Source organism: Homo sapiens, chromosome 20 (genome assembly GCF_000001405.40).
Source record: "Homo sapiens chromosome 20, GRCh38.p14 Primary Assembly".
In the NCBI taxonomy this organism is placed as follows: domain Eukaryota; kingdom Metazoa; phylum Chordata; class Mammalia; order Primates; family Hominidae; genus Homo; species Homo sapiens.
In genome coordinates this window covers 50928651-50955548 of record NC_000020.11, presented here as the reverse complement: position 1 = coordinate 50955548, position 26898 = coordinate 50928651, and the positions used below count along the sequence as shown (strand labels likewise).

At 41.5% G+C, this 26898-nt stretch overlaps 2 protein-coding genes and 1 long non-coding RNA gene across 20 annotated transcripts in view, besides 10 other annotated features; 2 read left to right on the top strand and 1 right to left on the bottom strand.

Moving 5' to 3' along the window:
* Window positions 1–20694, top strand: part of DPM1 (dolichyl-phosphate mannosyltransferase subunit 1, catalytic) — a 23710-nt gene extending 3016 nt beyond the window's left edge. The window contains exons 2-10 of one of the 7 annotated variants that reach the window (NM_001317035.1): window positions 264–363; window positions 6887–6920; window positions 9626–9702; window positions 9787–9812; window positions 13423–13518; window positions 14340–14420; window positions 14616–14684; window positions 19287–19401; window positions 20313–20694. In NM_001317035.1, the coding sequence (NP_001303964.1) occupies window positions 264–363; window positions 6887–6920; window positions 9626–9702; window positions 9787–9812; window positions 13423–13518; window positions 14340–14420; window positions 14616–14684; window positions 19287–19401; window positions 20313–20417 (703 nt within the window). In that variant the 3' untranslated portion in view covers window positions 20418–20694. Of the gene's footprint in view, window positions 1–263; window positions 364–6886; window positions 6921–9625; window positions 9703–9786; window positions 9813–13422; window positions 13519–14339; window positions 14445–14590; window positions 14685–19286; window positions 19402–20312 lie in introns of those variants that run through there. The other 6 variants (NM_001317034.1, NR_133648.2, NM_003859.3 and 3 more) reach the window with 6 other exon arrangements.
* On the bottom strand, window positions 10415–24565 carry ADNP-AS1 (ADNP antisense RNA 1). Of its 3 annotated transcripts, NR_110007.1 has the most exons (4): window positions 24495–24565; window positions 24100–24174; window positions 21722–21825; window positions 10415–11192 (listed from the first exon to the last, which is right to left on the bottom strand). It is a non-coding gene; the product is annotated as an ADNP antisense RNA 1 (long non-coding RNA). The 3 variants fall into 3 exon arrangements; NR_110008.1 differs by lacking the exon at window positions 21722–21825 and having other exon boundaries at window positions 24100–24177; NR_110009.1 differs by lacking the exon at window positions 21722–21825.
* Window positions 23624–23803: a silencer, noted in NCBI's record as "silent region_13037". NCBI's record gives its function as "represses an Ori minimal core promoter by ATAC-STARR-seq in GM12878 lymphoblastoid cells {active_cell/tissue: GM12878}" and the evidence as "EXISTENCE:reporter gene assay evidence [ECO:0000049][PMID:35858748]".
* Window positions 23624–23854: a biological region, named in NCBI's record as "ReSE screen-validated silencer GRCh37_chr20:49548232-49548419".
* Window positions 23667–23854: a silencer, noted in NCBI's record as "fragment chr20:49548232-49548419 (GRCh37/hg19 assembly coordinates)". NCBI's record gives its function as "represses an EF-1alpha promoter that drives an FKBP-Casp9 reporter gene in an ReSE screen in K562 erythroleukemia cells {active_cell/tissue: K562}" and the evidence as "EXISTENCE:reporter gene assay evidence [ECO:0000049][PMID:32094911]".
* Window positions 23954–24073: an enhancer, noted in NCBI's record as "active region_18107". NCBI's record gives its function as "activates an Ori minimal core promoter by ATAC-STARR-seq in GM12878 lymphoblastoid cells {active_cell/tissue: GM12878}" and the evidence as "EXISTENCE:reporter gene assay evidence [ECO:0000049][PMID:35858748]".
* The window catches only part of ADNP (activity dependent neuroprotector homeobox), a 42520-nt gene continuing 39733 nt past the window's right edge, over window positions 24112–26898 (top strand). For 4 of the 10 annotated variants that reach the window (NM_015339.5, NM_001282531.3, NM_001439000.1 and 1 more), the window contains exons 1-2: window positions 24112–24723; window positions 26724–26898. Coding sequence is in view for 2 of the 10 variants with exons in the window: in NM_001439000.1 (NP_001425929.1) it covers window positions 26731–26898 (168 nt within the window). In the remaining 8 variants the exon portion in view is untranslated. Of the gene's footprint in view, window positions 24724–25211 lie in introns of those variants that run through there. The other 6 variants (NM_001439001.1, NM_181442.4, NM_001347511.2 and 3 more) reach the window with 2 other exon arrangements.
* Window positions 24154–24373: a silencer, noted in NCBI's record as "silent region_13036". NCBI's record gives its function as "represses an Ori minimal core promoter by ATAC-STARR-seq in GM12878 lymphoblastoid cells {active_cell/tissue: GM12878}" and the evidence as "EXISTENCE:reporter gene assay evidence [ECO:0000049][PMID:35858748]".
* Window positions 24493–25283: an enhancer, noted in NCBI's record as "H3K27ac hESC enhancer chr20:49546803-49547593 (GRCh37/hg19 assembly coordinates)". NCBI's record gives its function as "activates a minimal SCP1, AML or CMV promoter by ChIP-STARR-seq in primed H9 embryonic stem cells {active_cell/tissue: H9 hESC(primed)}" and the evidence as "EXISTENCE:reporter gene assay evidence [ECO:0000049][PMID:30033119]".
* Window positions 24524–24573: a silencer, noted in NCBI's record as "silent region_13035". NCBI's record gives its function as "represses an Ori minimal core promoter by ATAC-STARR-seq in GM12878 lymphoblastoid cells {active_cell/tissue: GM12878}" and the evidence as "EXISTENCE:reporter gene assay evidence [ECO:0000049][PMID:35858748]".
* Window positions 24714–24893: a silencer, noted in NCBI's record as "silent region_13034". NCBI's record gives its function as "represses an Ori minimal core promoter by ATAC-STARR-seq in GM12878 lymphoblastoid cells {active_cell/tissue: GM12878}" and the evidence as "EXISTENCE:reporter gene assay evidence [ECO:0000049][PMID:35858748]".
* Window positions 25848–25897: a silencer, noted in NCBI's record as "silent region_13033". NCBI's record gives its function as "represses an Ori minimal core promoter by ATAC-STARR-seq in GM12878 lymphoblastoid cells {active_cell/tissue: GM12878}" and the evidence as "EXISTENCE:reporter gene assay evidence [ECO:0000049][PMID:35858748]".
* Window positions 25928–25977: a silencer, noted in NCBI's record as "silent region_13032". NCBI's record gives its function as "represses an Ori minimal core promoter by ATAC-STARR-seq in GM12878 lymphoblastoid cells {active_cell/tissue: GM12878}" and the evidence as "EXISTENCE:reporter gene assay evidence [ECO:0000049][PMID:35858748]".

Here is a 26898-nt window from a genome sequence, read left to right as displayed (position 1 = left end):
ATTTTCTTTTGAACTAAAAAGTTTGTTCTCTGTGTAGGAATTCTTTAATATCTCAGGACATTAGCATGTTTCAGCAACATACTGGGTTTGGAGGTAAAGTACTAAATGTTTGACATTTATTTCATTTGATAATTGAAGTTTTCCTCAACGATTAATATAGCAATACATCTCCATTTATACTTTTAAGGAATTAGTAATTTTTAAATTACTTTTAAATTTGAGAACACTGTCATCAGTCATTAATACAAATTTAATTTTTTTAGTGGAATCAACTATGAAATTATAATCATAGATGATGGAAGCCCAGATGGAACAAGGGATGTTGCTGAACAGTTGGAGAAGATCTATGGGTCAGACAGAATTGTAAGTTATAAGAACATTTTTCTGTGATATGAATTGTGATTATGTAGGGGAAAGATGAGACATGAACAATGCTTAAATTCAATCTATTTGTTTAGAAACTGAAAAGATAAAGAGCAACTTACGCATTTGGGATTTAAATGCATTTTTGTTGTCCGTAAAATTTTACATATCTTTGGTATGTTGGGTCAGTGGTCATTTTACAGCAAAGAGTGAGCTTTTGGATGAACTCTGTTTATAACTAATTCTGCAGATAAATTTTCTTGAAGGGCAAAAATTAAAGCATGATACTGAATTGACAAGGAATATTATATAATTGGGTTATAATTGGTAGTGTGTGTGTGTCTTAATCTTTCTTGCTCCCTTTCGGTAAGTATTCTCATGCTTTCATTAGAGAATACTGCCTGAAATTAAGAGCGTGTAGGTAGAAAAAGTTACTGTTTTCTTGTGAAACATTAATGACTTCTTAGAGTACTTGGCATTTTTAGTCTATAGAATAGTCTTGTGAAAGTAGATTGACTGTATTAGTCCTAAACTTTAGATTCACCCACTGTACCTTGAAACTTGTTATTCTAATATAGAAGTTACTTAGGCAAATATAGAGTTTATTTTATAATGGCTTCATGAATTTTATTTTTGGTTACCGGTTTGTATTTACAAATGTTTATGTATACTCGAGCTCTTTTATAATTTATATTCACAAATTATTGCAGACCACAGTTTTTCAGTCTTGGCACTATTGACGTGTGGACAGATTAATTCTTTACTGTGGGGGTTGTCGTGTTTATTGTAGGATGTTCAGCACCGCATCTGGACTCTTCTCACTAGATGCCACTAGAAACCCCCCTCCCCACTTGGCAACTGCAAATGTTTGGATATTGTGAGATATTTCCTTAGGGGAAAAATTACCCTTTGCCTCCAGTAGAGAACCATTGGTATAGAGAAAGAAGTCCCTTTGAGAACCTTTATTGTTATTTACAGTTCAAGAAATGGTAAATTAATCATTTTAAAAAAAAGCCACTCAGTCTAAATATTCTTGATAAATCTCAGTAATAGAAATACTTTCTACTTAGAGGTGAGTGTCAGTTGTATGAGGTCTTGGTGGCAAGAGTTTAAAGGAACTGTGTTACTACATGGTAAATGTAGTTCTAGGAATTCTTTCAGTCTGTCTCACAGATGAGTAACTCAGGTCTGTCACACCTCAAGTCTTCTCTGAAAACCTTCTAATGGATGGGAATACAGAAAGAGGTAAAAAGTTGACAAATTTTCAGGCTTCTAGCAGAGACTTTCAGTAATGCTAGGTTTGAATTTTTGGCCAGTAGTTCCCTGTTTTCTTTAGAAGCCCAGGGTGAAGGCCACTGATTCACAACACTTTTGAGTTATGTGCTGCCATTTAATCTCGGACCATCAACCAGACAACATTTTGAATACTTTTGTCATAAAACCTCAGCCTTAGGATGTGATTGATTGATTTTAGGGAATGGTTACTAAACTGACCTTTCAAATTTTGGAACAACATTGTCTTCAAAGACATTTTTTCTATCAACCCAATAAAATTCAAAATGAGAAAAAAAGTTGCATTCACTGTTACGATTTCCCTCTACTACCAGATAAAATTCCTTATTCATTCATTATTTTATGACATTTAAATAAGTTAAACTAGAAAATGACTTTTAAAAAAAAACAGTATTAATCCATGCTAGGGATGACACTTGCTTTTAGTGACAGATGTATGTTTCGTTGAGAAAATGAAGGATATTGAAACCATGTTAGAATACCTCAGATAAAGTGTTCACCACAGATGCTTTGTCAGCCTTTCAGACTGGCTGAAATGAATCTTTCAGAAAAGAAGCCAAAGAAGATATTTTTAAAAATTCTGTAGGTGACACAACTGAAGCGAGAGGTTAGGTCATTTTTAATGACCTAACTAGGTAGGACCATAGAGAAATTGGGGGCACTTACTCTGAACTATTCACAGTGCTTACAAGGCAGAGATCTGAAATTGTGAAGGACTTCAACTGCTCTGTGTTGAATGCTTTTATTATGTTTGGTTTATGTAGTTTGTTTCATCTCCCAACTTGAGATCAGATAAAGTCATTTATATTTTGTCATATTTTCTTCCAGCTTTATTGAGGTATAATTGACAAAGTTATATATATTTAAAGTATGAATACCACATTTGGGGAATGAACCTGTCCATCACCTCACGTAGTTACCCTTGGGGGCAAGTTGACAGTGATGAGGACAGTTAAGATCTGCTCTCTGTAAATTTCAACTATATAATATGATACTATTAACTATAGTCACCGTGCTGTGTGGTAGATTCTTAGAACTTTGTCTTACATTTTGTCATTATTTTATAGTTTAGTATTTTAAAAACTTACTCTGATAATAAAATGTAACACGTTTATTATTCTTAAAACATCAAATGTAAGATAAAAAGGTTTGACTACTTGAAAATATTAAACTTCTGTCCATTCCTAAATACCAAAATATTTCTAACAAGATCAGTACCCCAACCAACCAGATAATTCATAAGACCAAAACTAGAAATGGCCAGTAAACAAGAAAAAAATACTGAGCCTCACTGATAAGTGAAGATTTACAAAACAGGAGGAGAGTACATATTAGCCTTATTAGCTGAAGATTTATTTTTATTTTCTCCTTTCTTTTTAACCCAGTGTTTCTGAGAGTATTATAGAACAAGTCCACTCAAATACTGTTGATCCTAGTATAAATTGATACTGTTTTTCTGAAGTATCATCTGGCAGTAATCTCATGACCCTCAAAAATCCTTAATGCCTTTGTAATAAGTATAAAGCAGTTTATAAAACTGTATATGTACTATAGTCTCAATTCTGTTTTTAAGTAACTTTTTTCAAGATTGTCTGTGATAAGTTTTACAAAGGTTCTTGTCAAACAAATTATAGTTTCCCATAAAAGTATTTTATAAGCAGCTGTGGCAAACATGCTTCAAAAAGTATATGCCTGTCATTCTTGCAAGCACTTTATGTGAATCCACTTGCTTGTTCCTCATGAAAGCCAAGTGAGAGGGGGCTTTGTCACGCCTCTTTATATTCTCAAGATCACATGGCAAATGAGTAGTGGCCAGGATTCAAACCCAGGCATTGTGGTTCCAGGGTTCATCTTCCTGTCTGTAATGCTATCCTGCCTCACATAGAAAGGGGCCATCAGATTGATATGAAGAGGCAAAAAAGGATCAGGGGAGGGTGGAGAGGTGGAATTAAGAGTCTGAAAGTAAAGCATACCAAATAGAAATAGTTTGGATTTCCTACATAAGAAATAAACAAGCACATCCTTGTAAAATATAAATGTTACCAGTAAAACCGAAGTTGCCTTTGATGAACATTTTATTTATTTATTTATTTATTTTTTTTTTGAGATTGGAGTCTCGCTCTGTCGCCCAGGCTGGAGTGCAATGGCAAGATCTCAGCTCACTGCACACTCTGCCTCCTGGGTTCAAGCAGTTCTCCTGCCCCAGCCTCCCGAGTAGCTGGGATTACAGACCTGCACCACCATGCTGGCTAATTTTAGTATTTTTAGTAGAGACTGGGCTTCACCGTGTTGGTCAGGCTCTTCTTGAACTCCTAACCTCAGGTGATCTGCCCACCTCAGCCCCGCAAAGTGCTGGGATTACAGGCGTGAGCCACCACGCCCGACCTGATGAACATTTTCTATAGGCATCCCATTCCCTTGCACAGGGGAGACCCAGGTCAACAGTTTGGTGCGTTTTTTTGTGCATATATGTGTGTATGTGCATTTGCAGAACTAGGTAGTGTGGTGGTCTTGTTTTTTAAAACATAACTGCCATCTTCCTGTATCATCATTACTTCTAATTCTGTCTTGGCGATCTTTTGTCACCAGCTCACCTCATTTCTGTTAATGGCTCCATAATACTCTAATATTTTATATAAACCTTTGAAGATTCTGAAAATTATAAGTATCATAGTCTCCTTGTCCATGGTTTTGCTTTCCGTGATTTGTTACCTGCAGTCTGAAAAGAGGTAAGTACAGTACAAGAAGATTTTTTGAGTTAGACCAAGTTCACATAACTTTTATTACAATATATTGTTGTAATTGTTTTATTTTATTATTGGGTATTGTTAATCTCTTACTGTGCTTAATTTATAAATTAAACTGTGATAGGTGTGTATGTATAAGAAAAAGTATATATAAGGTTTGGTACTATTGGAGATTTCAGGCATCTCCTGGGGGTCTTAGAAAGTATCACTTGGGGTTAAGGGGGTGTGCAACTGTAACAAAGTTATGTTTGTTTGTTTGTTTGTTTGTTTGTTTTTTGAGACGGAGTCTCACTGTGTCACTGAGGCTGGAGTGCTGTGGTGTGATCTCAGCTCATGCAACCTCTACTTCCCGGGTTCAAGCGATTCTTCTACCTCAGCCTCCTGAGTAGCTGGGATTACAGGCACGTGCCACTACACCTGGCTAATTTTTGTATTTTTAGTAGAGATGAGGTCTCACCACGTTGGCCAAGCTGGTCTCTTAACTCCTGACCTCAAATGATTCACCCGCCTCAGCCTCCCAAAGTGCTGGGATTACAGGTGTGAGCCACTGCATCTGGCCAAAGTTATCTTTTTTTAAAAGAAAGATTTTCCAGCTAAAACAGAGTTGTAGAAAATCTCAGATGAGCTTTAAAAAATTTGCTTTTTCAGGGCAGATACCAGATGGGGATCAGTATTTTGTCAGAAATTATTCACAAAATCAAATAAAATCTAGCTGTGATCTGATATATCCTGCTCGATTTTGTTCAGTGACTTGCAATTATCATAGATGCTTATTTGAATGTCTTTCCTTCCTGTAAGCTCTTACCAGACAGCAGTGTATTTTATCCATCTTTATGCAAGATGTACTTTGCTATAGATACAAATTGTGACTTAAAATTTTTTAAATGTGGGGATAGTGGAGTAAAAGTGTAGAGGATTTCTTTTTAGCAGTTAGAGTTAGATTGTTATCAGCTTAAAATAGCCTGTTATCACTATAAGATGGGTTTTGTAAGTCTCATGGTAATCATAAAGGAAAAGCCTAAAGTAGATTCACAAAAGATAAAAAGTAAGGAATCAAAGCATAATAGTACAGAAGATAATCATAAAGGAAAGGAGAAAGAGAAAGAAGCAAAAGATCTACAAAACAACTAGAAGCAATTAACAAAATGGCAGTAGGAAGTTCTTACATTACATGTCGGTAATTACCTTGGATATAAAGGGATTAAATTCTCCAAAGACCTGGAGTGACTGAATGGATTTTTTAAAAAAGAGCCAACTATATGCTTCCCACAAAAGACTTGACTTGTAAGGATACACATAGACTCAAAGTGAAGGGATGGAAAAAGACATTCCATGCAAATAGAAACCTCCAGCAGATTGCATATAGTGAAAAAAAAAAAAAATCATCTGCTTTAATTGAAAATGCTTTGTTGAGAGATTTGCAGTCAGAGGCAACCTGCTTATATACTGGCAAGTGTAGAAGGGGACAAGATAGACAAGACATGCTCACTAATGAGTCTCCCTGAACCCCATACCTCAGAAACGTAGGGCACAGTGAGAACTTTGGCATTTGACTTTTAAAGTGTCCAGCCAAAAGGAAAAACTAAACAAGTAAAAGTCAGGCTCCAACTATTAAGCAAAAAGATTTAGGAGGACTAAGTGATTGACCAATAGTAAGAAAAGAGAAAGAATTTAATTAGGAATATGACATGTCCTTGGACCAGTAGAGGAGATGAGGTCATCCAAGCATAAGGTCAAGATAAGTTAATAGAGGAAGAGTGATATTAGTATTCAAAACCCAAAGGGAATCGAGAGAACAAACATCAGATTTCCCAAGAAGGTGCAAAATAATGAAGTAAGTCCTACATTTTTCTAGGAAGGAATCAATAGATTTAAAAGGAAAATCAAATATAGATGTAAAGACATATTTAAAATAGAGTGAGTGACACCAGAAAAAAAAGTTTAAAATTGTGATTGTAGGGTCAGGGTTAAAGAATGTTGCTTTGCTGGACGGGCGCGGTGACTCATGCCTGTAATCCCAGTGCTTTGGGAGGCCGAGGCGGGCGGATCACGAGGTCAGGAGATCGAGACCATCCTGGCTAACACGGTGGAACCCTGTCTCTACTAAAAATACGAAAATTAGCCGGGCATGGTGGTGCATGCCTGTAATCCCAGCTACTCTGGAGGCTGAGGCAGGAGAATCACTTTAACCCAGGAGGCAGAGGTTGCAGTGAGCGGAGATCACGCCACTGTACTCCAGCCTAGGCAACAGAGCGAGACTGCATCTCAAAAAAAAAAAATGTTAGCTACGTTAAACTATTTGGTTTGTTACCAAATGCTTTTTTTTTTCTTTTGGCAAAAAAATATTAAGGATACTTTGCTTTAAGTTCTAACAAGTGCAACTATATTTCTATTAAAGTGAGTATGCACTTTTGAATAAGATAAAATTTAACATGATAAGATTTCTGTTTCTGTGTGTAAAATGCTATTTCTTATTCCTACAGCTTCTAAGACCACGAGAGAAAAAGTTGGGACTAGGTAAGTCGTGTAATCTCTAACCCCTCACACCTGCTGCTTGCTTGGTGACATGATCCAGTGTGTATTTTCCCAGTTTGGAATAGGGCCAAAATACAGTAACTTCCTATGATGGTTTTTAATGATCTTAATGACATTTAAATGGTATAACTTGGGTCGCCTGTATAAGTCAAGACCCACTCAGGAAAACAGAACCACTGTAAGTCTTTCAGTGTAGGGAATTTAATACTGAGTCTCTGGTTACACCCCTGAAGGAGTTCCTGAGAAACCAAATGGAGCAGTGAGGCTACTAAGATTAGTAACAGCTGGAGGTCACTGCCACCCCTAGGGATGGAGCAACGGCAGGAAGAGATGTTAGAGCCCAAGAACCTGGGCTGCCCAGAGGGAGCTAGAATGATGGGGCAGGGGCTGCCTGGCAGGAGCTAGAACTGTGGGAAATTCCCAGTCAGAGGTAGGAGGGAGAGTAACAGAGGGAGGACCACTTAGACTTTTCCCTTTTCCCCTCCCTGCAGTCTTCCACCTGTACCTCCCAAAGCTGTTTGGCAGCCAGTTGACAAGAGAATCTGGAATATGTAGTTCACCCAATATAGCACAGAGTAGGGAAGGGCCAGAGAATGGGTCTGAGGGCAAATATCTTGGACCAGCATGCTGCAAACCTTGGAACATCCTTTAAGTTACAAGTTTAAAAAGTTACTCTTCATTTAAGGCTGGGCACAGTGGCTCACAAATGTAATCTTAGCACTTTGGGAGGCCGAGGTGGGCAGAGCACGAGGTCAAGAGATCGAGACCATCCTGGCCAACATGGTAAAACCCCATCCCTACTAAAAATACAAAAATTAGCTGGGCGTCGTGACGCGCATCTATAATCCCAGCTACTCGGGAGGCTGAGGCAGGAGAGTCGCTTGAACTCAGGAGGCAGAGGTTGCAATGAGCCGAGATCACACCACTGCACTCCAGCCTAGTGATAAAAACAGTTATTCTTTATTTTTAAAAAAGGAAGCTTTTCCAGCTTTTAAACATACAGCATTATTGAAAAGCTCATATGAGCTCAGTAATTCTGAGAGGAAACTCTGCCTTTATTTGTGCTAAAACTTAACATGAAGAAAGCACAATGCTTAACTGGAGTCTGCTATCTTGAAGACCATCAATTCCCAAGCATCAAATGTTCTCAGTATCTGAACCCAGAAGATTCTTTGGGATTCAAAAAAATCTGGAAACTGCCATGAAACCAAAAAGTGTAAATATTCACTCCTTTATCTTTCTGAGACAGTCTTACTCTGATCCCCAGGCTGGAGTGCAGTGGCACAATCTCGGCTCACTGCAACCCCTGCCTGCTGGGTTTGAGCCATTCTTGTGCCTCAGCCTCCCGAGTAGCTGGGATTACAGGCGTGTACCACCATGCCCGGCTAATTTTTGTTTGTTTGAGACGGAGTTTCGCTCTTCTTGCCCAGGCTGGGGTGCGATGACGCGATCTCGGCTCACCGCGATCTCTGCCTCCCGGGTTCAAGCGATTCTCCTGCCTCAGCCTCCCAGGTAGCTGGGATTGTAGGCATGCACCACCATGCCCAGCTAATTTTGTATTTTTGGTAGAGACGGGGTTTCTCCATGTTGGTCAGGCTGGTCTCGAATTCCCGACCTCAGATGATCCGCCTGCCTCGGCCTCCCAAAGTGCTGGGATTACAAGCGTGAGCCACTGCGCCTGGCCAATTTTTTGTATTTTTAGTAGAGATGAGGTTTTGCCATGTTGGTTAGGCTAGTCTCAAACTCCCTGACCTCCAGTGATCCACCCATCTCAGCCTCCCAAAGTGCTGGGATTACAGGCATGAGCCACCACACCCAGCCGATATTCACTTCTTAACAAAATAAGTTAGAAGAGTTCAGCCTTGCTCATAAGACACTTGTGAGGGGTCTGGACTAGAGAATGCAGGAATCCCCAAGTCCTGCTCCTAACAAGTTACCCTAGCCTGCCAAGTCCCTGTGGGACTTTGAGGCATGGAGCTGGCTGAGTAATTGTCACCTAGGCCTTTGGCCCCAAATACCAGAGCAAGGGTCTAGCGTACCAGGTTTACGGTGTAAAAGACAAGAAAAAGGGAATTGAAATGTTTTGGATGGAGAATCAATAGGACTTAATTACAGTTTAGAAGTTATGGTTAAAGGCAGGAAATCAAGAATCATCTCTAGACCTGTGGATGGAGCAGTTGGATAGTTGGTGCCTTTCCTGGAGAGGTGGCCTGTAAGAGAGAGGTAGAGAATTGGAAGATGATTTTGCAATGTTATCTTTGAGATTTCTGAAATACCCAAGTGGAGATATTAAGTAGGAAGCTGATTTGTAAATGTGGAGCTCATCAGTGTCTTAGGGGGATGCCAAGGAAACACCAGATGGGTTTTTAAAGCATGAGAATGTGATAATTGTGCTACATAATCTTAGACTTTTGAACTTATAAACTATTTCTTTGCTATACTGAAATAGAGGTATGATCTATTGTATTAAATTGACATCTGAATGGGGGTGTGTGGCCAGCTACCTTCTTGATTATATATGTAATATACATGAACTTATGTACTTAAGGTGAAAAATACCAATTTATTAATCTGACTTTTAGAGAACTAATGTGTGCTCTTCAGGTGCTAAACAATTTCCTTGATGTTCAAATGTATATGTAAAGATTTCTGTTGATTTTCTTGAATGGATCTACTTTCATTTTTAGGAACTGCATATATTCATGGAATGAAACATGCCACAGGAAACTACATCATTATTATGGATGCTGATCTCTCACACCATGTAAGTGGTATGTTTCTTTATTAGCTATTTATGGTAGTCTTAGCCTGTTTTACTGACTTACTGTTTATTCTTTTCAAATTTCAGCCAAAATTTATTCCTGAATTTATTAGGTAGGTACTATTTCTAATATTTGAAAGAAATATGACTGGAAACATTTATCTTACTGGTTTTGGGCTTATTTTCATTTTTTATTAATCAAAAATACACATACTATTTTTTCTATCAAAAATATAAACAAAGTTTGGGAAGTCAGGGTAGGAGGGTTGCTTGAAGTCAGCAGTTTGAGACCAGCCTGGGCAACAAAACAAGTACTTGTCTCTACAAAAAAAATAACAAAAATTAGCCAGACACAATGGCATGCGCCTGTAGTCCCAGCTACTCAGGCGGCTCAGGTGGGAGGATGACATGAGCCCAGGACTTCAAGGCTGCAGTGAGCTATGATCATGCCTCTCCATTCTAGTCTTGGTGACCCTGAGACAGAGTGAGACCTTGTCTCTAAAATATTTATCTGTATAGATAGTAGACACACACACACACACACACACACACACACACACACACAACACACATTTGAGACTAAATGATGTATTTTAGGAGTCCTGAGGAGCAAATCAACAGGTAGTTCGTTATCTGAATTCTTTCAGACCACAGAAAAAGGTGGAAGATGGCTTCTCTGATAAATGGAATTAAGCCTTGAGTTATTAGAATAAAACACCGTGAACAAAAGGGTTTATTCCAGGAATGCCAGAATGGCTCATTATTGGTAATCACTTATAATTCATTCATTATGTTAACAAAGTAGTGTGGTTAAGTCTGTAGATGCTAAAGGAGATATTATTTACTACCATTTTCTAGTTAAAACTTTAAGAATAGAAGGAAACCTCTTAAGCATAATAAAAATAACCCAGTCCTAATACAAATACCACACCAAATAGTGAAATGCTGAATCATTTCCAATACATGCATTAATACAGGCATGCTAGCTATCATTAAACATGGAAATGTTAATACAGTAAGATAAGAATTTAGTTAAATGTTAGTAAAATATACACAGTTATATTTGTTTGTAGGCAATATAATTAAATTCTTAGCCCAAAAGACCACAAAACCTCTGTGAATAAGATTTTGGAAGCTGTTCTGAGTTTAAGCTAGATACATAAAAACAGAATCAGATTATTGTCCCTCCAGTTCAGGGAGTTCAGGGAGTTCCCACTAACATCTAGGGAAAAATCCAAGTTCCTTCCCTTGTCCCTCAAGCCCCTATGTGTTTGTTGGCCCCTGCCTCCCTTTCTGACCTCTGCCTTGTGCTCCTTCCTTTTTGCTTTCCATGCCATAGCATGCTTCTGAGTTCACAGAGTTCCATTTTCCTTTGCCTGAAATGCTGTTTCCATGCTCCTTGATGACCATCTGCTGCTCATCCTTCAATCTCTGCGTAAAGTCACCTTAGACCTTTTTTGGTTATATCTCCAGTATACAAAAGCCTCTTTAACCTGTAGAGTAGAAAATGGGCAAAAAGATACAAACAGACCATCTATAGAAGAAATCCAAATGGCTAATAAAAGAAGACGTTCTTCCTGGGATGTAGTCAAGGAAATAAACACAAAATAACTGTGTGTGACCATTTTATTATCCATTAGTTTAACAAAGTTAAAAACTTTTAGAGCAGTAGTAATATCCAGTACCAATAAGATGGTAAAAAATGGACACACAAATATTGCTGAAGGAAGTATAAGTTGCTATAACCCTTTTGGAAAATATGTGTTCAAATTTGGGAAAATATGTGTTAGAATTAAAAATACTCAGGCTTGGCCGGGCGCAGTGGCTCACGCCTGTAATCCCAGCACTTTGGGGGGCCGAGGCGGGCGGATCACGAGGTCAGGAGATCGAGACCATCCTGGTGAACACGGTGAAACCCTGTCTCTACTAAAAATACAAAAAAATTAGCCAGGCATGGTGGTGTGCACCTGTAGTCCCAGCTACTCGGGAGGCTGAGGCAGGAGAATGGCATGAACCTGGGAGGCGGAGCTTGCAGTGAGCCAAGATCGCGCCACTGCACTCCAGCCTGGGCGACAGAGCGAGACTCCATCTCAAAAAAAAAAAAAAAAATACTCAGGCTTCATTTGGGCAATTCCAGTATATTCCATTTTGGGGAGTCTAAGCAGTAATACATTTATAAAAACGTTTATTGTGGCCAGGCACAGTGGCTCATGCCTGTAATCCCACACTTTGGGAGGCTGAGGCGGGCGGATCATGAGGTCAAGAGATTGAGAGCATCCTGGCCAACATGGTGAAACCCCGTCCCTACTAGAAATACAAAAAATTAGCCGGGCATGATGGCACTCGCCTGTAGTCCTAGCTACTTGGGAGGCTGAGGCAGGAGAATCACTTGAACCCGGGAGGTGGAGGTTGCAGTGAGCCGAGATGGCGCCATTGCACTCCACCCTGGCAACAGAGCGAGACTCCATCTCAAAAAAAAACAAAACAAAACAAAAAAAGTTTATTGTAGCACTGTTTATTGTGGTTGAGAGGGTAGGGCACCATGGAAACAACCACAGAGGTGTGTGAGTTGAATATTCTATGAAGTAGTTTTGCAATTATTAAAAAGAATGGGAAAGAGCTCTCTTGACCTGTAGGGATGTCTATGATTCCATGATTTGCATTGTTTTTGTTTTGAGATGGAATCTCACTCTGTCATGCAGGCTGGAGTGCAGTGGCGCAGTCTCAGTCACTGCAACCTCCACGTCCCGGGTTCAAGCAGTTCTCCTGCCTCAGCCTCCAGAGGAGCTGGGAATACAGGCACGTGCCACTACACCTGGCTAATTTTTGTATTTTTAGTAGAGACAGTTTCACTGTGTTGGCCAGGCTAGTCACAAACTCCTGACCTCAAGTGATCCACCTGCCTAGGCCTCCCAAAGTGCTGGGATTACAGGCGTGTGCCACCACATCTGACCCCATGATATGTATTGTTAACTGACAGAAACCAGGTCACAAAATGTACTTTTTTTGCATCCCAATTTTGTAAATGCAACCAAAAATCCTAGGGGTGTATGTTTGTCTTTATCTTTCTCTAGGCAAAGAAAAGTGTGGCAGGACATCAGGCTGTTTTTAGTATTATTTGCTTCAAAGAAGGCAAGAACAGAATGGAAGGGTATTGGGAAAATTAATTATTTTAATTTGAGAGACAAGGTCTTCCATTGTCACCCAGGCTGGAGTACAGTGGCACAATCACAGATCACTGCAGCCTGAACCTCCCTGGCTCAAGCCATCCTCCCATTGCAGCCTCCCAAATAGCTGAGACTAAAGGCATGTGCCACTGTGCCCGACTAATTTTTTTTTTTTTTTTGAGATGGAGTCTCACTCTTGTTGCCCAGGCTAGAGTGCAGTGGCGTGATCTCAGCTCACTGCAACCTGCCTCCTGGGTTCAAGTGATTCTCTGCCTCAGCCTCCTGAGTAGCTGGGATTACAGGCACCCGCCACCGCGCCAGGCTAATTTTTATATTTTTAGTAGAGATGGGGTTCCACCATCTTGGCCAGGCTGGTCTTGAACTCCTGGCCTCGTGATCCACCCGCCTCGGCCTCCCAAAGTGCTAGGATTGCAGGCGTGAGCCACTGCACCCAGCCTGTGTCGACTTCTCTTAAAAGTTTTGTTTGTGTAGCTCATGAAAATGACTGTTGAAAGCTCAGTGGCTTTTTCTAATTGACAGCTAATTTATTCTACAGGAAGCAAAAGGAGGGTAATTTTGATATTGTCTCTGGAACTCGCTACAAAGGAAATGGAGGTGTATATGGCTGGGATTTGAAAAGAAAAATAATCAGGTAGGTACATGTGTTACAACTTCTTTATTAGTATAACTACTGGAAATGTATTCATAGCAAGTATTTGGATTAGCTATCATGCTGCCCGGGATTTGTGGGATCAGGTTATAACTTCCAGTAAATACTCCCAGATAGTTTCTTACAGTTTTTCCTGTGATTAGAGCCTGGATGTTTTTTATTAAGGAAAAATCAGCATAAACCTTTGGACCTTTGGTAGAAATGGTCTCATTCAGCAAAAGTTACTGTACTGGACCTTCAGTTTTAATTTATGTGACCTGTTCTATACTTTTGGTCTAAATATGTAGGGTTTCTCCCCATAATTATAGTGTAATTTTAATTAAGATTGATTTCAGACAGACCTGGGTTAAAGTCTTAACTCACTGCAACCTCTGCCTCCCGGGCTCAAGCAATTCTCCTGTCTCAGCCTCCCGAGTAGCTGGGACTGTGGACCTGCACCACCATGCCTGGCTAATTTTTGTTTCATAGAGATGGGGTTTCACCATGTGGCCCAGGTTGCCCTCGAACTCCTGAGCTCAGGTGATCTGCCTGCCTCAGCTTCCCAGTAGCTGGGACTGCAGGCACGTACCACCATGCCCAGCTAATATATATAATATGAATATATATATATAATATGAATATATATATGAATATATATAATATGAATATATATGTATATGAATATATATAATACGAATATATATGAATATATAATATGAATATACATATTATATGAATGTGTATATATATTATATGAATGTATTTTATTTATATATATATATATATATATATATATATATATATATTCACTTTTTTTTTTGTAGTGATGGAGTTTTGCCATGTTGCCCAGGCTGGTCACTCCTGGGCTCAAGTGATCCAGCCATCTTGGCCTCCTGGGATTACAGGTGTGAGCCACCGCGCCTAGCCAGGTCTCCTTTCATTGACTAAAAATTTCTATTTTGTTCTAGATAAATAACATTTTTATGAAATTAATGTTACATTTATGAAATTAGTATAGCATTTTAACACTGTTCTTCGATGTGTTTCTCTTGTTTATAAATTGTATTTTGTAAAGAAGATCTGATTGTTTTATTTGGCAGCCGTGGGGCCAATTTTTTAACTCAGATCTTGCTGAGACCAGGAGCATCTGATTTAACAGGAAGTTTCAGGTACAGTGAAAATTTCCACTACTTTTATATAACTTCTTGGCTAACTTTCTTTACAATGGATATTTTAAAGAGACACTTTACATTTCTACCTTGTTTTTATTCTGGGATACTAAAAAGGCAGACTAAAATTCCTAGAAGTTGCTAATGAAGCCTAAACATCTCAAGGAGACATATTGTGCTTTTCCTTTAAAAAGCTGAAGGCAGTTAGGTTTGTGTGCTTGTTAACATTAGTATTAAGGCTCAACTGCTCTTTGGAATGTTGCTATTACTGATAATCTGTTCCAAAGAATAGCATGTACTTAATTTTCTGCATTTCATATGAATACCTACAGCATTGTCTACAGAAAAGGTTAAACTCTTTAATATTTATATAGAGCTCTCTCAGTTACCTTGTTCTCCATATGTTTGAGGAAATTTTTGTTGTTCAATTTGGACAAAGCTTCGGTCCCTCTGAGTTTTGCGTGTCTGTTTCTGGGTGTATGGGGTGGTGGTCTAGATTTGCTGTAGTAGATGTGAGCTGCTTTGTGTGACTGACCATGGCAAATGACAAAACTTGCCAGATTTTTTTTTTTAATCTCTGAAACTATAAAATGCCCCTGCATCTACTTTAGTGACCCCCAAGCCCCCCAAACATTACTTAATAATTTCTACTAGTTGATACTTTTTTCCACTAAATAATGTTGATTCTTGGGTCCTTTGCTTAATGCAGGAAAATCTAGGTCCTTAAATGTGAGAATTGACACACACACACACACACACACACACACACACACACACAAATTAGGACCTGGCTGTTGACAGTCAAAAAGAAAAATGAAGCCTCTCTAGAACTAAAATGCAAATAGACTGGAGAGCTGAACTTGGGGATGAAAGAGAGGGGAGGCTATACCCTAAGGCTAAAGAGTCATTTGTGATATGATTAAGATCTCTGATTGCGGATGGGCGTTGGCTGGTGGATGGGCAGTGGCTTGCGCCTATAATCCCAGCACTTTGGGAGGCCGAGGCATGTGGATCACTTGAAGTCAGGAGTTTTAAGACCAGCCTGGGCAACGTGGCGAAATCCTGTCTACTAAAAATACAAAAATTAGCCAGGTATGGTGGCGTACGCTTGTAATCCCAGCTACTCAGGAGGCTGAGGCAGGAGAATCACTTGAGACCCAGAGGCAGAGGTTGCAGTGAGCCGAGATTGCGCCACTGCACTCCAGCCTGGCGACAGAGGAAGACTGTCAAAAAAAAGCCAGGCATTGTGGCTCACACCTGTAATCCCAGCACTTTGGGAGGCCTAGGCAGGTGAATCACAAGGTCAGGAGATCGAGACCATCCTGGCTAACAGTGAAACCCTGTCTCTACTAAAAAATACAAAAAATTAGCCAAGTGTGGTGGTGGGCCTGTAGTCTAAGCTACTTGGGAGGTGGAGGTTGCAGTGAGCTGAGATCGCGCCACTGCACTCCAGCCTGGGCAGTAGAGTGGGACTCCGTCTAAAAAAAAACAAAAAAAAACAAAAAAGATCTCTGATTGCCATGTGGCAACAATGCAAAGAATAGTGGCACTCACAAAATCTCTGTACAGCGGGAAGGGCCAGTGTGGATTTCACAGGCCACAGTTTTGATGGTTTTGAATAAAAACCTAGGGTAACTGGTAACTAGTTGTGAAGATAGAGGCTGTGAAGAAAAACACAGCAGGGAGAGGAATGGGGTGAGGGTGGTTTGCTGCATCAGAACCATACAAGGATTAGTGGAGGGGATGGGGGTTGAAGGATGGCCTGGGAGTTCTGGATTTTCATGTATTGACAGCAATGATTAGCTGTGTTCTGTATAAATGACAGAGCAGCCAAACAGACAAAAGTGAACCTGTTAATTGCACAATTTTTTTTTCTTTTTTCTGAGACAGGGTTTCGCTCTTGTTGCCCAGGCTGGAGTGTGCAATGGCGCGATCTTGGCTCACCACAACCTCCGCCTCCCAGGTTCAAGAGATTCTCCTGCCTCAGCCTCCCGAGTAGCTGGGATTACAGGCGTGCGCCACCATGCCTGGCTAATTTTGTATTTTTAGTAGAGATGGGGTTTCTCCACGTTGGTCAGGCTGGTCTTGAACTCCCGACCTCAGGTGATCCTCCTGCCTCCGCCTCCCCAAGTGCTGGGATTACAGGCATGAGCCACTGCACCCAGCCCAAAAAATTTTTTAAATAGGCTGGGCGCGGTGGCTCACGCCTGTAATCCCAGTACTTGGGGAGGCCGAGGCAGGTGGATCACAAGGTCAGGAGATCGAGACCATCCTGGCTAACATGGTGATACCCCGTCTACTAAAAATACAAAAAATTAGCCGGGCGTGGTGGCGGGCGCCTGTAGTCCCAGCTACTCGGGAGGGTGAGGCAGGAGAATGGCGTGAACCTGGGAGGCAGAGCTTGCAGTGAGCCGAGATTGCACTGCACTCTAGCCTGGGCGACAGAGTGAGACTCTGTCTCAAAAAAAAAAAAAAATTTTTTTTAATAGTTAAATCTCATTGTCTTCTCATAAGAGTGGTGGTTTCTTAAATACATGCATTAAAGTTCATTTGTCGCTAGACAAAGCCCATTTTTGTCATTAAATCCCTAGATTTAGGAAGAAGGTGCTTTTTACAAAATAAGAAAAGGAATCCTGGAAAGGCTACAGTCAATATAAAGCCATTTAATAGCATAGACCACCTGGATCCTAATCGCATTTATGGGATTATATGGCTTCATGTAACATTTTATTTTACTAGCCACAGTGTTAAAGTTACCATGTGGATGGGGAGGAAGGAGGTGGCAGTGAAAAGAAATATCTTAGAAAATGATTCTTAAGGGGAATAAAGCAACTCTTAAAGAGAGGAAATATTTCATAGCCTAATCCCAATTTTAAAGGTAATGCTGGCTGGATGTGGTGGCTCACACCTATAATCCCAGCACTTTTGGGAGGCCAGTGATGGAGGATATCTTGAGCCCAGGAGTTTAAGACCCCAGCTCTGGCAACATAGTGAGTCTCCGTCTCTACAAAAACTAAAAAAATAAAAATAATAATAATAATAATAACTTTAAAAGTTATTCTAAGTTATTTAGCAATTATTTAATGGCCTTTCTTGCTTAGCCTGGCATGGTGGCACATGCCTGTAGTCTCAGCTACTTGGGAGGCTAAGGTAGGAGGATCTTTTGAGCCTGGAAAGTTGAGACTGCAGTGAGCCATGGTTGTGCCACTGTACTCTGGGCAACAGAGTGAGACCTTGTCTCCAAAAATACAAATATATAAATAAAGGTAATGTGGAAACATAGTCCCATCAGTATCATAGTTCTTCCCACCCCACAATCCCAGTGCTCCCTCCCCTAACAGCATCTGACATATTATATATCTTCATTGAGTTTTTAAGTTCACTTCTTAACCCCAAAACATAAAAAAAAAACCTGAAACCCAGTACATTGGTCAATAAATATTTATTATTGAATAAATATTGCTACCATCAGATTCTCCTCTCTCCATATTTATTCCAAATTGATTCCTTTGAATCCTTAAGGAAACTATGTGGATAAAGGATTGCACACACTAAGCTGTCAGGTTTTTCTAAGGGCTGTGCTGTCCTATACCCACTTCATAGTCAAAAGATAAGGTCGCCTTAGAAGTCTGAGGGAAAAAAAATGTGGATTCAGGGTGAAACCCTGAGGCACAGTAGGTCCAGATGGCCTTAACTTTGAAGAGAACAAAGTTACACCAAACTGCCTCTTCTTGCTTTCTCCCCTCTCCCCACAAAAAAAGGTAGAAATTGCTGCCTCCCTATGAACTGAGACACTGATCTTTAAAAAAAAAAAAAAAAAAGTGTGACTCTGAAAATACGGAGCTCCCTGCTATTTAGTTACTGAAGAAAGTGCTTGGGTCTACCCACTGGACTGCCCAACTCCGCTGTCTTTGTAAATCTGGTGTTTGGCCTGCAGTCCATCTAAAGTTAGGCTGCACATTCACCCACTGTTAAGTGTCTAACTGTGACCTCAACTGGTGATAGGTGAATCCCACCAGGATTGTTTCTATCCTGTGATGCCTCGTTCCTGTTTTAACCTAGCTTCCCAAGCTCATCCTAGAGCAACTTAGTTTATCCTGGGGAATTTATAAAGGAAATCATGAGAAATCAAAACTCATCATAAACATTTATTGGAAAATGACTGTGAATTATGAGGTTCTTTCTTGTCATCTAACATATATAGTTGCTTCATGATCATCTGTCCACCCTGTTGTTCAATATTTGGAACAGTTTCTTTCAACTTTAAATTTTAGGGAAATCTTAAATAATGGATGGTTCTGCATCAAATGATTCATTTTACCGTATTTCACTAATTTCTGATAGTATGGTGGGAAAATAATTCTATAAAAAGATAACTGAGAATTCATTTTCACAATTATTCTAAGTTATTTAGCAAATATTTAATGGCCTTTCTTGCTTAGGACAAATGTATCATAATCATCAAGTGTGCGAGCTTTTCTGTTTACCAATGGCCAGTGAAAGTTTTAGGCTTTATACATACCAGTGAACTCTTTGAAAGGTCAGGATACATAGGCATGTGTATTTATCCAGAAGTTGATATATATTTTTAATTTCTTACAGATTATACCGAAAAGAAGTTCTAGAGAAATTAATAGAAAAATGTGTTTCTAAAGGCTACGTCTTCCAGATGGAGATGATTGTTCGGGCAAGACAGTTGAATTATACTATTGGCGAGGTATGCAACTGATGCTAAATAGTGTGTCATGTTCCTGGTAAAGGAGCAGTAAGGTTTAGAATTTTTATAATAAAAAGTTTAACTTTCATAACTGCTAAATTGTGGAGGTCTTCTAGTTGTTTAGAATATTCATGCACAAAGGGTAAAAATTCATATTAGTACATTTGAACAGTAAGATTTAAAACATTAACAGTCAGCATTCTCTTTTAAATAATTAAAAGTTCCTGGTACTTTCTCAATCCTAGCCCTTTCTTCTAACTAATCAGCATTATGGACTGAGTCTCTTTGCTTCTTTTCCTTTTGTCACCGCCAATGGCCACCATACTTTAAAATGAATGATGAGTTCCATATGTCCATTTCCTGTTAGTAAGAGAAGACCAGGAATTACAGAGCAAGGAGGTGGTGATCTGTAATATTTAGGGCTCGTTAGTGAGCTCTTAGGGTAGGGAAGACTCTCCTCATTTAATAGTAAAACTCTTATTCAGAGCAAGAAAATAGCTATGGAATGTCACTTCTCTTGTGGAAGTTACAAGCTATTTTACTTAATGCTAAACCATTGTAGCTAAATTTGACAAGTGAAAAATCTACGCACAAGGCCATTTTACTTTTGGAGTATAATTTTTCCTTGAAATGCAAACTGAAACTTGAGTAAACCAAGGTAATACCTAGAATCAGTGCTTTTTAAACAGTTGCAGATTTGTTTCATGTGACCTATCTTTAGATAATGCATGTTTAATTTTAAAGACTTGGAGATACACACAGTTGCTTTCATAATCCCCTAATTTTATACTTACTTTAAGGACCTCTGTTGTAGGACTAATCCTATTTCTGTTGTGTTGGTAATGTGGTATACCGGCTAAGCTGCCTAATTGTTTTTAAAGACTAACGTTACTTTTTTTTTTTTAAACTAGGTTCCAATATCATTTGTGGATCGTGTTTATGGTGAATCCAAGTTGGGAGGAAATGAAATAGTATCTTTCTTGAAAGGATTATTGACTCTTTTTGCTACTACATAAAAGAAAGATACTCATTTATAGTTACGTTCATTTCAGGTTAAACATGAAAGAAGCCTGGTTACTGATTTGTATAAAATGTACTCTTAAAGTATAAAATATAAGGTAAGGTAAATTTCATGCATCTTTTTATGAAGACCACCTATTTTATATTTCAAATTAAATAATTTTAAAGTTGCTGGCCTAATGAGCAATGTTCTCAATTTTCGTTTTCATTTTGCTGTATTGAGACCTATAAATAAATGTATATTTTTTTTTGCATAAAGTATTGCTGCCTTCATTAGAGTATGTGAATGTAGAATTTTTTACATGGGGAATAATTTGAAATAGTCTTTTTAAAAACTGGAATCATAGATCTTTATACCTAATTGATCTCAGAAGTAAGATAATGTTAACTGATGAAATGTTTATGGCTGTGTCTGTATGAATTGAAAAAGAAATACACACCTCTGCCCTTTCCTTAAAAATGTATCTCAAATTTCTTAAACTAGAAAATACATTTAGAGCAGGCATTTACAGTTCGGTTCTTTTCAGCTGTTGAATTGATGAAACATTTCATCTATCAAAGCAGGTCTATTTAAAATGCATATTGTGAATTGGGAAACAATTTGACAGCAGTTGATTACATAGCCGTTTTTTTCTCTTTTGAGCAATAACCTCTATCAGTAAGGAAAAATATTAATGACACTGAGGCAGAAACTTAGCTGCTACAGTAATTTTTAAACATCTTACTGAATTATATAACAATTTTTTTCTCAAAAGACTTGTTTTCATATTATTTAAAGACCCTCAGCAAAGCTCACATCCCTACTAATTTGAAAAATCTCTGCCTTAAGCTCTTCTCTCCATTTAGAAAAGTGTTCTGCCAGTTAAAATTTGGGCTAAGCTATCCAATAAAGCCAGGGCAAATATTATGTTTACCCACTTTCTCTAAAGTAGGTATTTCAGAAGAGATCAGTTAATTTCTAACTGTAGCATAGGTTATGGTCATGTAGTATCTTTTAAAATTTGAGTAAGGGCATGCTTTGAGCAAGTAAGTTTAAGTTGACTTTCTTCTGGAAATAAAAGTAAGAGGTGTCTCTAAATTATTTATTGAACAGTATTCCTAATTACTACATTTTCCTGGCTTAACTTGGCTGCTGAAGAAATTGAGGCCCAGCACAATGGCCCATGTCTATAATCCCAGCACTTTGGGAGGCCAAGGCAAGAGGATGGCTTGAGCACAGGCATTTGAGACCAGCCTAGGGAACATAGGGAGATCCTGTCTCTACAAAAATATAAAAAAAGCTGGGTGTGGTGGCACTCACCTGTGGTCCCAGCTACTTGGGAGGCTGAGGTGGGAGGTTCACTTGAGTCTGGGAGGTCAAGGCTGCAGTGAGCTGTGATCATGCCTGGACAACAGAGTGAGACCCTGTCTTTTTTAAAAGAAAAAAAAATGAAAATCTGATTTTTCATTTGCATTTCTCTCTGACAGATTCTACCAGAAATGAATCCCAGACTATAAAACCTGTGGTGTCATTTCGAACATTAAAACCACCCCCTCCCACGCTTCTATAGTTGAACCCATAGTACACATTCCAATAAGGGCCACTCTTGTTCTGTTTCCCTTATGTCCAGAACTGTCCAGCTGGCCAGTGAGGGAACTGCTTTCCTTAGGGAAGAAACTTCTCTCATTCATAACAAGAAGAAAATTCATCAGTGCTTGATGTGAAATTAGTTTTAAGCTAAGATAATAGAAATGTAATATTCTCAGTTTTTTTGGAGTGGTTAGAATTTATTTTTTCTTAACCTAAACTCAAAGTTGAGTTCTCAGTGTCAAGTATGTGGAGCAGAAATTAAGTAACAACCTTAGAGAACCTAATATAGATAGTACTGCCTTCTCAGATACTCACTAGAGTAGATAATGTTTGCCTTTTAAATCTTTTTAGTTATTCACACAATCATTATCACAACACTGTCACTCTTGGAATTTACCATAGAGTATTTGAGCAGTGAAGACTCATAGCATTTGGAAGTCATTTAGAAAAGAATCTGGAATATTTAGATGCATTTTTGTAGTAAATCTGGTGCTTAAACACTGTAAAATTAAATATTTACATCTGAATCCAGCATCCCATTTTGCTTTGTAAATGAGGCCAAAGATGAAATCCAGATGTTTTCCCTTGTATTTGTATTATCACTATATGGAATCTAAGTATATCTAAGAAAAACTAAACTTAAACTTACTTTGCTTATTTCATATTAGTTTTTATCTGTCTTCTGCAGTGTGTAATTAGATTCTTTAGTTTTCTGAATCAAATGCTTTGCCCCAACCCCTTTTTCCACGACTTTTTTCAGCTGTTTTCCCTTGAAATACTGACTTGGCTTTTAAAGATACATTTTATCACAATTGCAGAAATGTGTTGTATAAAAGTTTGTTAAACAGGGCTAACTGAAGTCTTAGATGTTGAACAGCTATGTGTAACCACAATTTATACTACTTGCAGCGAACTCAGATTATTTTCGGATGTTAAGTATGGCTTGAAACTATGTTAACTTGAAATGTAAAGAAACAGCAAAAGACAGGTGTATTTACCTAAAGATCACATATTAAGGAAACAGGCTTGGTTAATTCCTCACTATTGACATCTATTACTTGTCAATACATTTAACCAACCAATGATACTTTAAATCATAATGTTACTTTGAACAACCTACTTTAAAAGGTTGGTTCAAAAATGTTGAGGAGATAATGTATTGGTTGGGATTGACCTAAATTTACAAAGCAACCATGTGCTGTCTTATGCTACCCAGATTGTGGGAGCACCAAAAGCTATGTCCCTAGGACTACAAAGTGTGTTGTTTAAGGATCTTGCAGAGAGCCAATGCCCCTATTGGCAACATCACTTCTCATCCTTAAGTTTCACCAGTTGGGTGGCCTCAAGGCACTAGGATTCCCATTTTTTTTTTTATTCAGGTCAGAGAAGAGTCCATCACTGTGACTGGGAAGAATGTCAAGTCACAGGGTAACGGCGGACCTTAATAAAATCTCGGCCCCTCTGCACCGAATACCCCACCAGGAAGGGCTAAGGCATCCATGGGGTTGTGTCTCATCTCAAGTCGCTGTGTGAAGCACGAGGCCCTCACACCTCATTTAAGGCAGGAGGCGTCAGGGGCGACCGGCCAGGTGTCCCGGCGCCTTCCCGCCGCTTCTCAGCCGTGGAAGCGCGGGCATCTGAGCACGTGGAGCCGCCCCAGGCCGCCCCGCACACCCCTCCCGCCAGATGTAGTCCAGGCCCAGCTGGGCCCGCGCAGGGATCCCCAGCACGGCCACCTGACTGAGTGCTGGGCGTGCTGCGGCCCGCTGCTTCTGCCTCCGCCGCCGGCGCTGCGGCCAGAGGAAGGCGCCCGCCGAGCACACGGGCCCCGGGAGCGCACTGCGGCCATTATCCGCGGCGCCTCCTAGTGGGTCAATGGCAAATCCGCCTGGTTCTCGCGAGAGCTCCCCCCTCAGTGGGGATTATATAATTTCCCTCAAGCGGGGGTGGGGGTGCTGAGAGCACCCTCCCTCAGGAAAAGTTAGGTGCAAGCAGGGGTGGGAGTAAGAGGAACCCCCCCTGGGGAAAAGGGGGTTAGGGGTGCTGTCCCCACTGCCCCCCCCTATTTAGCTGGACAATGAGTCCTCTTATGCTAATGAGGCACTTACGTCACTTCCGCTCTTTCTCGGCCGCCATTTTGGCTAGGGCAGGTTCGGGGACTCGGTCCGAGGCGCTTGTATTGTCTGCTGAGGGGAGACGCGGGATCAGCCCCCTCCCCCGCCCGTTGCCGCCGCCGCCTCCGCCGGCCCGGTCTCCCCTCCGCCGCCCGCCGGGATCCATGAGCTGAACTCCCGCCCCCCCCCCCCCGGCCGCCGCCATCTTGTGCCCCCTCCCCCTCCCGCAGGCAGCGCTAAGGGGGATTTTGGCGTCTTCTCAGACACAGCTCCCTCTCTCGGTCCCCGCTGCTGAGGAGCGAGAGGAGCGCGGCCGCCGCCGCCCGCGCCGGTGAAGCCGCCTCTCCCACACCCTCCGTCTCCTCCCTCCGCCCCTCCTTTGTCTGCACCGCTCGACGACGCCGCCGCCGCCCGCCGCTCTGCTGCGCCCGCCGCGCCCCCCGGCAGCACCCGCGGCCGCGGCGCGAGCCGGAGTCCGCCGAGCCGGAGCGCGACGAGGCCCCGGGCGCGCCCTCCCCGCTGCCGCCACCGCCGTGCCGCCGCCATCCGCCCGCCGCCGCCGCCGCTGTCCGGCCCCCGAGCACGCCGGCCCCGCGCGCGCCTCGAGGCCGAGTCAAGGTAAGCCCGGCGCCGCCGCGCGCGGACCCGCGGCCCTGCCCTGCCTGGCTTCCCGACCCCGGCCCGCGCGGCCGCCAGTGCAGCCTGGCCCCGGGCGCGGGCGCATTGTTGTTCGCATCGCCGCCCTCCAGCCGCACACACGCTCCTTTGCACACCCCGGCGCCGACGGGTCCCCCGTCCCGGCACGGACCGCTACCCGACTCTGCTCCGGAGGTCCAGGCGCCTCCTCCTGCAGCCCGACCCCCTTCTCCGCCCTGTGAGCCCACCGAGGCCAGCACTCTGCCTGGCCGCCCGGAGCTTTTGCAGCTAAGGGCATCTCCCCCAGCCAGAACCGAGCTTCTCCCATCCTGGAACTAATCCCGTCCGCCCCCCACCCCCAAAAGGAGCCCCCCCACGCACACCCCCATGCCTTGAACCAGCCTTCTGCCAGGTCTGCCCACCCTTACCTGGGGGAGGGGGGACGGGGTTGGGGGGGGCGGGGAGCATGCATGGCATGGAGTGAGTCTTTGCCTCCCCTGTGCAATCCTTCTTCCCCAACCTGCCAGCTTTCCTCTTATCCTGACCACAGTTCACCACCATCCCTTTTCCCCAATCTCAGCTGCCTGGTCAGCACCTCTTTCGAACATTCTGAGCCCCAACTTTGCAGTAAGGTGGTAGAAAATGGAAATCCAGAGAGCTGCAAAAAGATTTTTTTTTAATGTAATGAATGGGGAGTAGTTTTGTGAACACACTCGTATTCACCTCTTCTTTCCTCTGGGAGGCCTGCCTGCCTTCCCCTCCCCCCCAACCTTGATCCCTGTCTGCTGGAAAAGGCGCGATTGCTTCTCTTCCTCTTCTGCCCAAGACCAAGACTCTAGGTCTGATATCCTTTTTAGCCACACACACACACCCCCCACACACGAAGTCTTCTTAATCTTCTTGAATTTACCAGTTACTCTGGACACTTCTTGCCATAACCCCATTTCACAGACAAAGGCTTAGGAGGGAAAAAGAACCAAACTGTTTCTGTGTTTGTCATGTTAATGATGTCCATCCCCACACACCCAGTTCCCATCCCTGATGCTTCTTGTGCCTGTATCTTGAACCTTCAGAATGAAAAAAAAAAAAATCTCTTGGATAGCTTGATACAGTTTCTTTAGAAATCTGCATTGTTGCTTCTGGTTTATGGCCATGGAGAAAATACCAGCCCCCACCCAAAATGCACCGCAGCCAAGTCGGCTAAAGGCGATGAGTGTTGGAGTCAGTAGGGGGCGCATTCTCTGCACTGGGTAAGGCTGCAGAGGGGGGAAGGGCCCCCGAGCTAGAACAGGATGTGCTTCACAGCGCCTTCTACAGACCATGGGAAAATGGGCCCAGCAAGACACACTCGCACTCTTAGTTGGTGAGCTGACAGCAACATGGCGAAGGATTAAGTGAGTCAAGAGCAGTGATTTTACTTCTTTTAAAGAGCCCACCCTGCATTTTAGAAGTTTTCTCCTTTTACTTTTTCAAAACTGTTGGCCCCCAGTCCATATTTGTTCTTGACGAATCACCTTGGCACATCCTTGGTTCGGATTCCCTTCCTCTGGAGTTCTTCCACCTCAAGTTTTGAATGTGTCACCATATCTTTCCTAAGTCTGGTGGTAAAGGAGAAGGTTTGAAACAAAGTAACAGGTTTGGGGGCATAGCTGGTTAACTCCCTTCTTCATAGGCCAAATCTTTCCAATTCTTTGAGAGTTAAAAATCATTCTTGAGAGATGTTGGATTAAGTGTGTAGATGGGTGTCATGATTTGCAAAGCCTTGTTGGTAAACATCAAGCCCATGTTGGGTTCTTCATTGTCGAACTCAAGTGTTGATTGTAAAAATTTCGTTTCCCTCCAAATTTGGACTTGTAATTGCCATTCATTATCTCAGCAGCCAACCACCTTTACAAAAATGTTGATACCAGTCTTCTGTGAGCACCCACCTTCTTAGGGTGTGTTGATTTCCATAGATTTTACTCCTCTTGTTATTTCCATAGGTGTGAGATGCACAATGCGAAACCTAGGCCCCAGCTTTTACACCATGATGCGCAGGGTTGTACTTTTTGTACTGAACTGATAGGTGGCCTAGTGGTTATGCCCTGTACTACCATTTTGAGGATCTGGACTCCGTTTCCTGCCTTGCTCTTTGGACCACATTGTCAATTCACACCG